This window comes from Homo sapiens, chromosome 12 (assembly GCF_000001405.40).
Source record: "Homo sapiens chromosome 12, GRCh38.p14 Primary Assembly".
In the NCBI taxonomy this organism is placed as follows: Eukaryota; Metazoa; Chordata; class Mammalia; order Primates; family Hominidae; genus Homo; species Homo sapiens.
Genome location: NC_000012.12, coordinates 22737785 through 22751902, shown reverse-complemented (window position 1 = coordinate 22751902; position 14118 = coordinate 22737785). Strand labels below are relative to the sequence as shown.

At 37.5% G+C, this 14118-nt stretch overlaps 1 long non-coding RNA gene across 16 annotated transcripts in view; it reads right to left on the bottom strand.

Moving 5' to 3' along the window:
• Positions 1-14118, bottom strand: part of LINC02955 (long intergenic non-protein coding RNA 2955) — a 491729-nt gene that overhangs the window by 439685 nt on the left and 37926 nt on the right. For 2 of the 16 annotated variants that reach the window (NR_187497.1, NR_187498.1), the window contains 2 exons: positions 9271-9359; positions 962-9184 (listed from right to left, as the gene is read on the bottom strand). The exons of 13 other annotated variants lie outside the window; for them this stretch is intronic. This is a non-coding gene — a long non-coding RNA (long intergenic non-protein coding RNA 2955). Of the gene's footprint in view, positions 1-961; positions 9185-9270; positions 9360-14118 lie in introns of those variants that run through there. One more of the 16 variants, NR_187499.1, reaches the window with a different exon arrangement.

Genomic DNA, 14118 nt, shown 5'->3' with positions numbered 1-14118 from the left:
TGGGACTACAGGCGCCCGCCACCACGCCTGGCTAATTTTTTGTATTTTTAGTCGAGACGGGGTTTCACCATGTTAAGTGTTTATTTTTTTGTTTGTTTGATTTTTGAGACAGAGTCTCGCTATGTCACCCAGGCTGGAGGTGCACTGTCGCCATCTCAGTGCACTGCAACCTCCACCTCCTGGGTTCAAGCGATTCTCCTGCCTCAGTCTCTTGAGTAGCTGGGACTGGGCTAATTTTTGTATTTTTAGTAGAGACAGGGTTTCACCATCTTGGCCAGGTTGGTCTCAAACTCCTGACCTCAAGTGATCCACCCGCCTTGGCCTCCCTTAACGCTAGGATTAGACACAAGCCACCACGCTGGGCCTCTTCTTGAATGTTTCTTATAGTCATTACTTTATGTATCTGGACACTGTTTCTTCCTTATGTGGCTCTCTAGGTTTAAATTCTGGGGGGAGAGAGCAAGACATGTTGGTTCACTATCTTGTCAGAAATTTATCTGTATTTTTCTACCACATTAAAGATGTTTCCCAGTCTAAAAAATAAATGAAAAATCTGAATCTAAGTTTATAATTTGCCCAAAAATGTATTTCTACAAGTGTCAACATATCACACATAATAAATGGATACATGTCCCAGCCTATTAGCCATGGGAGATGGGGAGAGAGAAGCTATCCAAACAAATATAGGGCTCAACCCTCAAAAAGGGAATCAAACCCAGCTTTGGGGTTTAGGTTTTATGTTTCATGACATAGAAGATAATCACCATAGAGGGTTTTCTCAATATCGTGTTCAACCTCTCAGCCTATATATTCTCTAGATGTAGACTCAGAAGTCCATCTTAGACGTGTTTTGAGCAATGTCCAGTGAGCAAGTGGTAACAAAGAGGAAGCCATACTCAAGATCACCTAAGAACCAAACAGCAGTTTGGAACCACACAAAATGTAAGCCTCCTTATCTCTAGTGTGTGAGAAAATCGGTTTATTTAAGAGTTGAGAAAAAAATTTACTTTTCCACCTTCCAAAAGAGAGGACAATTTTTATGAGGGCTTATATTAAATATTAATTGCTATGCAACAAATTACTCCAAAACTTAGCAGCTTAGAAAACAAAAATCTATTATTTCATACTTTCTATGGTTCAGGAATTCAGTAGCAGCTTAGCTGAGTGGTATGGTAAAGTCTTTGGTGAAAATTCAAGAAAATATGTCAGTAGGAACTGTAATTATCTGAAAGCTTGACTGGAGCTGGAGTATCTCCTTCTAAGATGACTGACTTATATGGCTGTGGGCTAGAAGCCTCAGTTCCTTACTAGCTGTTGACAAGAGGCTTCCATTTCTCACTGTTTAGGCTGCTTGAGTGTCCTCACAACATGGTTTCTGACTTCTCTCAGAACAAGTGATTTAAGATAGAGTAAGGAGGAAGCTAAATGTCTTCTATGATCTCACCTTATTTGCTCTATACCATTACTTCCACCATATTCAATTTGTTATAAGCAAGTTGCTATGTCCAGCCCACCCACAAGAGGAGAAGAATTTACCTTCATTTCTTGGAGTGAAAGAAGTGTCAAAGAATTTGGGAACATTTCCAAAAATCACCAATGAAATTTTGAATAGTACAAATAAATAATGGGTCTCCCTTAACCGACATAAGCCTCAACCAAATTAAGCCTTATCCAGTTCTGGGACTTTCTTTGTAAATTAATTTAACAAAGGATTTCAAAGATGTAAAAACATTTCATGATGTAGCAAATGAATGTTATTTAAACATTTCTCTAATAAGCCTTTGTAAGACTGAGAAACACTGGCTAATGTTATTAGGATTCAAAGAAGTTAGAACTGTTTGAAAAAATTATCCAAAACTTGGAAATAAGGCAAAATATGCCAGAATTACTTTTCAATGTTATACTGGAGCATTATCTAACACTGAGGTCCCACACCCCCAGGCCACAGACCAGTACCTGTCCATGGCCTGTTAGGAACCAAGACACATAGCAGGAGGTGAGTGGCAGGTAAGCACGAAGCTTCATCTGTGTTTATAGCCGCTCCCCATCACTCCCATTAGTCCCTGAGCTCTGCCTCCTGTCAGATCAGTGGCAGCATTAAACTCTCATAGGACTGTGAAACCTGTCATAAACTGTGCATGCAAGGGATCTAGGTTGCACGCTCAAATTTTTCCACGGATGTTGGGGGAGGACCACGAAAAAATTGTCAGTGGAAAAATTGTTTTCCACAAAATCAATTCTTGGTGCTGGAAAGGTTGGGGACCACTGGTCTAATAGGTCTTCCCAAGGTTTGTTTAATTTTCTAGGGAAATATATCTTTGTTTGACTGATTATTTAGTGTTCATTACAGCCCCAAGGCTCTATGAAGATAAATGTTTATTTGCAGATTTTTGTCTTAAGTGATGATTTCTCTCCAATAGAAAAAATGATCCTAACTCTTATAATTTTATAGCTGCATAAGCCATAACTTTCTCAATTTAATAAGTTTATTTCATCACACTATTCATGGGTGACTATATAAATCTTTGTCCCTCAAATTATTCTTTAGACCAGCTTTACCTTCCAGCTGCATACCTCATTCATGAGGTAAATGAATCTTTGACATCTTACTTTATATTTGTATGAGAATAATGCCATGTTTATAATTTTTTGAAAAGTATACTTTAATAATTTCATTTTATTTTTATTTTTTGAAACAGGGTCTTGCTGTATCATGCAGGCTGCACTGCAGTGGCACAAACACAACTCATTGCAGCCTTGACTTTCCAGGCTCCAGCAATCCTCCCACCTCAGCCTCCAGAGTAGCTGGGACCACAGGCATATGCCACCACACTCAGCTAATTTGTGTATTTTTGGTAGAGACGAGGTTTCTCCGTGTTGCCCAGGCTAGTCTTGAACTCTTGACCTTAATCAATCTACCCACCTCAGCCTCCCAAAGTGCTGGGATTACAGGCATGAACCCCTGGGCCCAGCTTTGTGGGGGTTTTCCCACTAAGATAGACTTGTCTGCTACAGTCTATTCTAATGTATTGTCCAAGAAGTACACATTATAAGCTGTTTCCTCCTGAGAACATCTTTATGGAGATCTTGGAGTGAATCTTAAGGGCAATATAACTTTTCCTTCATTGAATCTCTGTTTTTTATTCTTCTGATTTTATGTTTTTATTTTTGTTTTTTGTTCTTGGCCAATTCTGGTTGCTGTTGTTGTCTGTATTTCATCTAATTTATGGTTTTAGCCATGACTTTTTCTGCCATCAAGGCCAGGGATTATTAGTAAATAATGAATCCTTAGGTAGTATATGGAACACCCTGTGTACACATGAGTCTGGTCTATACATGGCTGATAAGTTATTACCCATTGGAACAAACGACCACTGGAAATCTGATTTTATGGTATGACTATTTGACAACGTTATTCAATATAATGACAACTCATTCTTGGCCAGATAAGAGATGAAAGATCATCTACATTGTTCCACTTTTGGGTTTGTTGCTTTGGCTTTTTGTGAGCTTAACCTAGTTAGGTAAAACTTTATGCCCACTGGAAAAGAGAAAATTTGTTTGAGGTTACCAGTAAATTTTATTTTTCTGTTTACTTTAGACCTTTGTCTGTAGTTGTAGAATTGAAGCAGCAAGCTCTCCGTGTGTCTCTGTGTCAATAATTGAGAAAGGCATTTCCTTTTTATTGTGTGTGCATGAAATATTTCCTACCTCTGGAGGGTATTAATACATTAAGCTATAAAACCTCTTAAATTAAAGAAGCTCTGTTCTGCTTGGTTCATAGAGAACAATAAGAACCACATAAATTTAATGTTTACAGAATTCTTATAAAATAAAGAAACTGAACTTCTAGTCCTGAGTGTGTTAGCCTTTAAAAAACAAAAACAAAACCTTTTACAGAAACTGCCAACTCAGAAGCATTTTTATAGAAGCATCCAAGTTCATGTAATAAATGTGAATATCATTGGACAAATCAAAATGAATTTTCATGATTTTGCTTAAAAAGAGCTTTGCATCTTTTTCCTAATTTTATCAATGTGGAGTATAATAAAAAAATACTTTTTTAACTGTATTTGCTGCTCACTAAGAAACTAGGAATCTGAAGTTCCTAGACTTTTTAACTGCTTTATAAGTTCAGATAAGCCACTATTCCTCTCATACATTTTTTAATTGAGGAAAATATAAAATTATATGTTCGGTGAAATAGAATTATAATTCTGATAAGCATTTTATATCAAGAGTTATTATGTCCCGTACTGTGTCAGTTAAAACTGATTTTCCAAGATCATTTTTTAAGTTTTAGACAAAAATACTAATAATAAATTGAGTTAATTGATGGAAAATTCTTGTATATCTTCAGTTTCTAAGTACGCATAGTTTTAATACACAGTATGTACTTTTGTTTCTTATTTTTACACATTTTAGGGAATCTATGCCTCTGAGCTCTGTCAACAAATGTATTCATTTGCGCTACTTTAAGAAGGTATAAAAGGGAGTGTGTAGCTGTAGAGGTTGCATGTACTCACGTATTTTGTAGTTTGCCATAGTGCTTGTATATAACAGACAGTTGACATTTACCTACCTTCAATGTTGTTCTGATGAATAGGAGTTAGTTGCTTTGTTAATGCTGAGTTGTTGATGCTATACTAGAATAATATGCATAAGAAATGCATAAGAAACGCATAAGAAAATGAGATGTGTGTGTGAGAGAGAGATTTTTTTTTCAAAAGAAAAGGAAAATGGTTTTGTTTTGAAGTGTCTTGTTTGAGAATTTGGAAGAAATTAATGAAAGACAAAACTTAAATGGATATAGAAAGTTGTAGAAGGCTATGGAAAGTCAATGTTATTTGCTTTGGTTTTGAATACCTGCAAAAAATGTCTAAAAAGAAATGCAAAAACAGCATTGCACCAGTACAAAAATAAACACACAGATCAACGGAACAGGCCAGAGAACTCAGAAGTAAAGCCACACACCTGCAACCAACTGATCTGCCACAAAGTCGACAAAAATAAACAATGAGGAAAAGACACCCTAGTCAATAAATGGTATTGGGAAAACTAGCTAGCCATATCCAGAAGAATGAAACTGGACTCCTACCTGTCACTGAACACAAAAATTAACTCGAGATAGGTTAAAGACTTAAGTTTAAGACCTGAAATTATAAAAAAATCCTAGAACAAACCCTAGGCAAAACTATTCTGGACACTGGCCTAGGCAAGGAATTTATGACTAAGACAGCCAATGCAAATGCAACAAAATTTAAAATAGGCAAATAGGGCTTAATTAAATTAAAGAGCTTCTGCCAGCAAAATAAACAATCAACAGAGTAAACAGACAACCTACAGAATGGGAGAAAATATTTGCAAGCTATGCCTCTGATAAAGAACTAATATTCAGAATCTATTAAAAAATCAATAAAAAACAACCCCATTAAAAAGTAGACAAACGAAATTAACAGACACTTCTCAGCAGACATACACAAGGCCAACAAACATGAAAAAATGCTCAACATCACTAATCATCAGAAAAACGCAAATTAGAACCACAATGAGATACCATCTCACCAGTCAGAATGGCTATCACTAAGAAGTCAAAAAATAGCAGATGTTGGCAAGGATGAAGAGAAAAGGAAACACACTTATACACTGTTGGTGGGAATATAAATTAGTTCAACCACTGTGGAAAACAGTATGGAGATTTCTCAAAGAACTAAAATTAGAACCACCACGGACCCCAGCAAACCCACTACTGGGTATCTACCCAAAGGAAAAGAAATCATTTTATGAAAAAGACATCTGCACTCATATGCTTATCACAGCCCTATTCACAATATCAAAATCATGTCCATCAACAGTGGATTGGATAAATAAAATGTGGTATATATGCACCATACATATGTATACGTATACACAGCCATTAAAAAAAGAATGAAATCATGTGCTTTTCAACAACATGAATGAAGCTGAAGGTCATTATCCTAAGTGAAATAATGCAGAAACAGAAAACCAAATACCAAATGTTTTTGCTTTTAAGTGAGAGCTCAACATTGGGTACACATGGACATAATGATGGAAATAATAGACACAGGGGAATCCAAAATGGGGAGAAGAAGGAGAGAGGTTAGGGTTGAAAAACTACCTATTGGGTACCATGTTCACTATTTGGGCAATGGGTTCACTAGAGGACCAAACCCCACCGTTACACAATATACCCATGCAACAAATCTGCACATGTACACCCCGAATCTATAGTTTTAAAAAATTAAAAAGAAGAAATGCAATATGTAAAAAGAAAATCAGCAAAGTTTGCTTAGTTTGATATACTAACTCCAAATATAATGCTTTAATGAAAGGCTAAGAATTAGGTTTCTCACTTTGAAAATGAAAAATTATTCTTAGAGTAATTTGTCTGCTCTTAATAAGAGATAGTAAAAAAAGTATTCTTCATGTTTTCTGTTATCTGCCCAGGTAACAGGATTCTGTATCTCACCAAAATAACTTTATCTACTTTGTGCTGAATTTTTATGCCCTTAACTATTTTTTACAAACAGAATCAGCAAACTTAGAAGACAGACAACAGAAATTAGTCAATGTGAAGCAGTAAGAGAATAAAAGATTGGGAAAAAAAGTAAACAAAGCCTCAAGAACTTGTAGAACAATATCGAATTGTATAAATATGTGTAACTGGAGACCCAGAGGTGACCAGATAGAAGTTAATTCTCTCAATACCACATGGCTCTAGATTTGTTGACTATACTCCAAAGAGGCCTATGTATGAAAATTCTCATATCTTGCTGCATCAATATAAATGAACAGGGACAAAACACAATGTAACTAACCTCTCATGTGATCAAGAATAATCTTCAGGTATTATTTATTATTGGGACAAAGGAGGATTGTTAAGAAAAATTATCCAAAACTTGAAAATAAAGCAAAAGAATGACCCCTAATCTTCTCACTGTCACAACATAGCATTCTCTAATAGGCCCACCCAAAACCTATTTATTCTCTGCAAGAATGTATTTGTGCTTGACTTACTATTTGCCATTGATTATAACCCACGTGAAGTTACATGCTAACTTACAGATTTATATTCAGCAGAAACACAAATGATTTGTTTGATGCATGTTCATTTTGTACTTATATAAGTTATATTTTTTATCTTTTGAAATATATTATTTTTGAAAGATGAAATGCCTGAAATTCAATTTTTGAAAAGTCAAATGACCACATATGAAGCTTTGATTATAAGCAGAAATTGACACCAACTCTTCTCCAAGGAGTAATTTTGTGTGTTTGTTTTTAGGGGATGAACTATATAACCTTAGACAATTTCATGTAGTAGCTGATTTCATGAGGCAAATAAAGCCTAGATGTATGGGATTAAATGCTCCTTTATAAATCATTAAAACCATCCTAAAATCAATTCAAAAATTGACCAGAAGCCATTGCACTTTGCTCCAAAGAGAAATAACATGCTGAGTAAGCAACACAAATGCTACTCACTCTTTTCCAAACTGAAGTGACCTGCTGGGTCAGCACGGTGCCAGCTAAAACTCTAGCCAACAAAGGCAGTAAAAGTCAAAGAAGGCAAAAACTACTGAAGAGAAGCCAAAATATTGGAAATTTCATTGAGTGCTGTGTTAGTAACTATATCAGTATTCAGTTCTGGGAAAAGCAAAATGGTGGAATAAGATCATATACAAAATGGTATAAGATCATATACAAAAAACTATCTTGAAATACATGCTAGGAAGTGATCTCGAGACTAGGGGAGATGCCATAAATTCCCATAAGATAAGAAAATCAGGTTTTTTGTATTATCTGATATTGATCAAGAGACCTAAACTCAAATCAGTTACAGATTTTGACTTCAAAGAACTGCAGCAGCCCTGGCAACAGAAGCAGCAGCATCTTCCCATGGAAGATTTAGCCTCTTTGCACTACTCTTTCCAAATCATTTCCTGATTCACCAGAACCAGCTCTTTTATGCTCATGTAAACACACTAAGGTCCTGATGTAATGTTATCCTTGGAGCCCATGCCCTGTGATGCTAGTGTCAATTATATTTTACAAAACATAACCTTCTGGTATCTCCAAAACCTAAACAAGCTTGGCTGCATTTAATAAACATGTTCAATCATTCCTTTTCTCCCTACCCCACAACAGAAACAAAACCAAAACAAGAAAAATTCCAGAATATGCCCTGTAATAATGGCAGAAGCATTGCTAATTGAAGATGAGATACATACATAGAAAGTCATCTGAGAAAATGGAACACAAATGCTCTCTTAAAATCCAATTTTTAAAAAATTGTTGATTTGCCTTTCCAATTGGGCCTGAGAATACTACTTCTAGAGGCTTGTGCCAGCAATGCAACAACAGCATTGAAATGGAAAAGAAGTGGAAAGAGGGTAACATTTCAAGTCAGATTTTTTTCTCACAGAATACATGGATTCTGGGAGAAAAGTGAAAGACGTGAAGAGAGAAATATAGCATTAATTAGAGGGCATAGCTTTGTACAGCTTGAAATACAATTTTGTGATTTTTTTTGTTTGAGTGTTTTGTTTTGTTTTCATAAGCCTGCTACACCGTGAGCTCTGTGGGGATACTATTCTTATATCCCCAATTTGCAGCACTTGTAGTACCTGGAATACAGTAGGCACTTGCTGAAAACATGATAAAATTAACTAACACATGTACTATTTAAAAGTATAGTGATAATTACCCCCACTATAAATCATGGTATCATTATAAATCATGATTACCATTATAAATCAGATTTCAGTTAAGGCTTGATATGAAGAAGTGTTTCAGGCCAGACCTTCTCAAACTTTAACGTTCTAATGTTCATACAAATTACAAATCATCTGCATATCATGTTACAATGAAGATTATGACTCAGTAGTCTAAGTTGGACACAAATTCATAGGTGATGCTAATACTGCTGGTTCATGGACCATGTTTTGAGAGCCAAGATTCTGGACAACCCAATGGTTTATGACAACAGAGGAGACTCCAGAGCGGGGAGTTGATGTGTAGAAGTCTTGGGGCAAGTGACTAGCAAGGAAGGAGGAAAGCTTGGGTCACACAGGCATCAGTGGGGGGCAGGGTGATTAACCATTCAAGGAGCATGTCCATGTTCCCTTTCTCTTTTCACTCCAGAAAGTGAAAGCCTTTGCTTCTGTCAAAAAAAAAAAAAAAAAAAAAGTTTCAGTAATCAGTGAGCAAAGCAGGAGAAATATGTAGGGAACAGGGCTGTCTTCTTACCCGTGATGTCATGTTATAGCCATCCTCATAGCTTTATGAGGCTGGATGAGATGCCTCCCTTCTGGCACCTTCTTGAGGATCCTCATGTCCTAGAGGAGAGAGACCTTGGCTACAACCACAGGAGACCAACTCCCCAAGAACTCAGGAGTTTGAAAGAGACTGTTCAAGCATCACAGATTGAGGCATCACAGATCGCACCAATTGGCTGCCCCTTTCTCTCTCCCTCACTCTACCCACTCCTTAAGGCTAATCCCTCCCCCTCTGCTCCAAGACTTGCAAACACTGCAGACACAAAGATGGTTCCTACTTCGCCTGGCCCCTCCCCTGTGCCTGGGTTCATCATTCTTCACCATGGCCGTCATACCAATGAAGCTCAAGATGCTGTCAAATAGATTGCCCCTTTTTGAAAATATTGATTGTTTCAGGGTCAGAGTGACTGAATCTATTCAAGTAGGCTACTGGCCCAGAGGTTAGGTAAATCTCTCATTTTAGCCCCTAAAATTATCTTTTGAGCTCAAATTTACACAAACACAAAAAACGTAAAGACCGGAGTTCAAGGTATGGGCCGGGGACGGGGAGGGTCGGGTGAGGCACGCAGAAACTGTGGCTATGTCCAGTTTCTCACTCTTCACCAGAGATGTGATGTTTAATTGCTTCATGTCTCCCCTTTTCCTACAGTAGCTCAGATTGTCAGTGACAGCTCCAGGGCTTGGGCCACAAGCCTCAGGTGCCAATCAAGAGGTAGGTAGAAAGATGGGAGGCGGAAAGCAGGATGCACTTGCCACTGAGCTGCCACCCTCAGGGCAACCCTGAGGCACAGCAGCTCCAGGGAGCGTTATAAACATAGAATGCAATGTGAAAGGTGTCCCTGGAGCTGTGCGACTCTACAGTCTGGGAAGGGACCTTTGAGAGAAGAGGACCCACAGGAGAGGACTGCAGGAGGCAGAATGCAGGAAGGCCAAAAAGGGCAAGTGGATTCCAGCTCATTTTGATCTAGAATGTTTATCTTTAAGGACGGGCATGGTTGCTCAGGCCTGTAATCCCAGCACTTTGGGAGACCGAGGCGGGCGGATCACTGGAGGCCCAGAGTTCAAGACGAGCCTGGCCAACATGATGAAACCTCGTCTCTACTAAAAATACAAAAATTAGCCGGCTGCAGCGGTGCATGCCTGTAATCCCAGCTACTCAGGAGGCTGAGGCAGGAGAATCGCTTGAGCCGGAGAGGCAGAGGTTGCCAGGAGCTGAGATCACACCACTGCTCTCCAGCCTGGGCGACAGAGTGAGACTCCATCTCAAAAGAAAAAAAAAGAAAAGAAAAAAAAAAGGAAAAGAAAAGAATATTTATCTTTAAATCTTTATGGGTATATAGACAATAACAATGAAGATGAAAACATATTGCCTCAGGAAAATATCGATGCTATTCATTAACTGCTAGAGAACGAATGAGGTTATCCATCTGGCTCTGTAAAAACCACTGAAATGATTGTCTCATGTTGTAAGCTTCTAAGCATTTCCCCAATTATCCTGCTTTATAATAAGGAGCATTCATAACATTAAATGAGTCAAGTTACCTTGCTGGGAGTCTTATTTTATTACAACAATAACCTATAGAATATGTAGTTGGTATGTTGCTGTTAGAAAAAAAAGTTAATTGGGAAGCCATTAGGCTGAGACAGCTCCAATGCCTTGGGTTCTTATAGGAGCAAACCAAATCAAACTCCAGTGTAAACAGTAAAACAACACTTAAGCTGAACTAACCAGAAACTGCCAACTAACCTCCAACTAGGGACTTTCCACTTTCACCAATAAATGTATTTTCTTTGTCTTGGTTTGGCAAACACCTTGTAAAAGTTTTCTCTCTTGCCCACCTCCACCCCCCCAGTGGAACACTGAACTGTTCACGGTCTGGCACTGCTCGGTTGGTAAGTCACTGAATGCTCAAATAAACCTGTTAAAATTTTAATGTGCCTACATTTATTTTTTAACATCTCCATACCGGAACTTAGCAAATCCAGAGGAAAAAATATTTTCAGCATCAACAAGAAATGCATGACAAGATGGATGCATAATTACCGAAGAGAAAAACTATGAGTGATAGATGAGTTTTAAAAGGAACAAAAGACCAATGATGACTGACTAGTGTAATCTCAACGAAAATTAGCAATATTAAATGCACACTCAGTGCCATTGTGCTTCGTCTCTTTTAATCTTCAACAATCCTATAAGATTGGTGCAATTATTTTCCCCATTTTATCCCTAAGTAAAGCATAAACAGGATAAGTAACTTGTTCGAGGCCATACAACTTGAAGGGGAAGAACTGGAATTCAAATCTGAGCTTTGTCTGCAGAGCCCAAGCTTTTGCCACTAAGATGTAGACTCCCTAGCACCAGCAAGCAACATTTATTCCTCGATACCTGATGCTGAGTGTTTCATATCCATCATCTAAACTATTAATATAAATAAATGGTCATGCTCAGTTCTACTTCAGCCAGTCTGAAAAAACAACATCAAGAAGCCTAGATGGGAAGCCGAAGCGGGCAGATCACAAGGTTAGGAGATTGAGACCATCCTGGCTAACACGGTGAAACCCCGTCTCTACTAAAAATACAAAAAATTAGCCGGGCGTGATGGCGGGCACCTGTAGTCCCAGCTACTGGGGAGGCTGAGGCAGGAGAATGGTGTGAACCCAGGAGGCGGAGCTTGCAGTGAGACGAGATCGCGCCACTGCACTCCAGCCTGGGCGACAGAGCGAGACTCCATTTAAAAAAAAAAAAAAAAAAAGCCTAGAAACAGGAAGGATTTCTTAAGGTTTACTCAGGATAGTCCAGGGTAGACAGCACTCTGGCCAAATGGTGTGAGCCGTCCAAACCGCTTGGTCTCAGAGAGGGATGTTTCAGATCAAGGCCATTCAACCAACCCCTCTTGCTCTAATACCATAATTACCAAGTTTCCTGGTCATGGTCTTATTTCTTTTTGTGTTTATTTGTTTTTGTTTGTTTTGAGATGGAGTTTCGCTCTTGTTGCCCAGGCTGGAGTGCAAACGGCAACCTCCGCCTCCCGGGTTCAAGCAATTCTCCTGCCTTAGCCTCCCGAGTAGCTGGAATTAAGGCACTCGCCACCATGCCCGGCTAATGTTTTGTATTTTCAGTAGAGACAGGGTTTTACCACATTGGTCAAACTGGTCTTGAACTCCTGACCTAGGTGATCCACCTTCCTCTGCCTCCCAAAATCCTGGGATTACAGTAGTAAGCCACCGCACCTGGCCCATGGCCTTATTTTTTATGTTTTCTTTTTTTCCCTACAAGAAAGGAATGAAGGAACCATTGGCATCACTTCATAGCTTTCTCAGAATAAATTAATAAATTGGCAACTGGCTTATACATCAGTGTTTTGTGAGTTGGAATAAATCAAGTCTGTTCATATGACTAAGCTGTCAAAGTTGAGTTATTCGACCTAAAATGTGGTAACCACACCAAAGTATTGCCATCCTGAGACTCTGTTGGGAAGGTGGCTGACCTCCTCACCTCTCTAGATGACATAGCTATTATGTGTCTAACTAAATATATGTGTGTTCATTTTTTTCATGCATTGTTTTCCCAAGCCAACACAATTTTTAAAACTCAGGAAGCACATCTTTTGACTATGGGCTAGATGCCATTAATGCTAAAGTACACAATTCAACAAAAAGATAAAGAAAAAGGTGGAAAAGGAGGAGAAATAACCACTGATTAATTACCAATGGGAGTGCTATTTGGGAAAAAGGACCCTGAACAAAAATTATTTGTTTTCAACTGAAGATGTTGAATAGAAATACAAACCAAAGTGATGGAAAATCAACTAAATAAAGGCCTTAGAGAAAGTCAGAAGTTCTTTGGTCTATTCCTAATTTCTAGAAAATGCTTTTACAAATGGTCAGGCAACTGAGCATCTGAGATCTAATTGTGTCACGTCAAACAAACTAGTTTGATGTTCTCCTTTTAGAAGAGCAGATGGAGTAGTCAAAAGACTATGAGAAACCCCTTAAGAAAGATGTGACAGTCTGAGGGACAGACTTAAATTAATGTTTAAAAAAATATAAATGCTTTGATGAATTAGAAAGGATTTTTCAACCCAGATCTAAATGAGATTTTCATCATTCTTTAAACAATGCCAAAGTAACTTTCTGATTTTAAAGAAGAAAAAAGTACAAAAATTTAAGAATTTAAACGAAAATTAATTCCAAGAAAGAGTTCATTAAGAATGCATCATGAAGGAAAACATTCTAAATCATTTTCTTCTACTGAAAATTTCTTAAGAATATAGAGAAGTGCAAAGAATGATATTATAAACACATATATATCTACTATACAGTTTTAATAAATGCTAACATTTTGTGATACTTTTTTGAGAGAAATAAAACCTTCCACATATAAAGTTCCTTCTATTTCCCATACTAGTCCAATTCTCCTGCTTTCTCCCCAGAAAAAAAAAAAAACGTTACTATGTGTTTTGATGTACACTGCATCTACTATATATGTAGTATAAAAATATGTAGTATTATATACACATAGTATATATATGAAGTATATGTGGTATTAAAATACAGATTGGGAATACACAAAACTTGTATATCTCATGCAACTCATGTATCTCATATCTTTTAAAATATATTCTTAAAATTGCTTCTAACAATGAGATATTTCAAAGGAAACTTTTCAGAGACAGTTGATATGACTAAAAACCAGTGACCATTTCTACTTGGAAAATAATTAGAATCCAAATGAAATTTAGAGCAAGGAATTTATTATAGTGAATTCTGAAATCTATTTTATAAATTCTGAGAAGATAGTATGAATGGGAAAGGATTT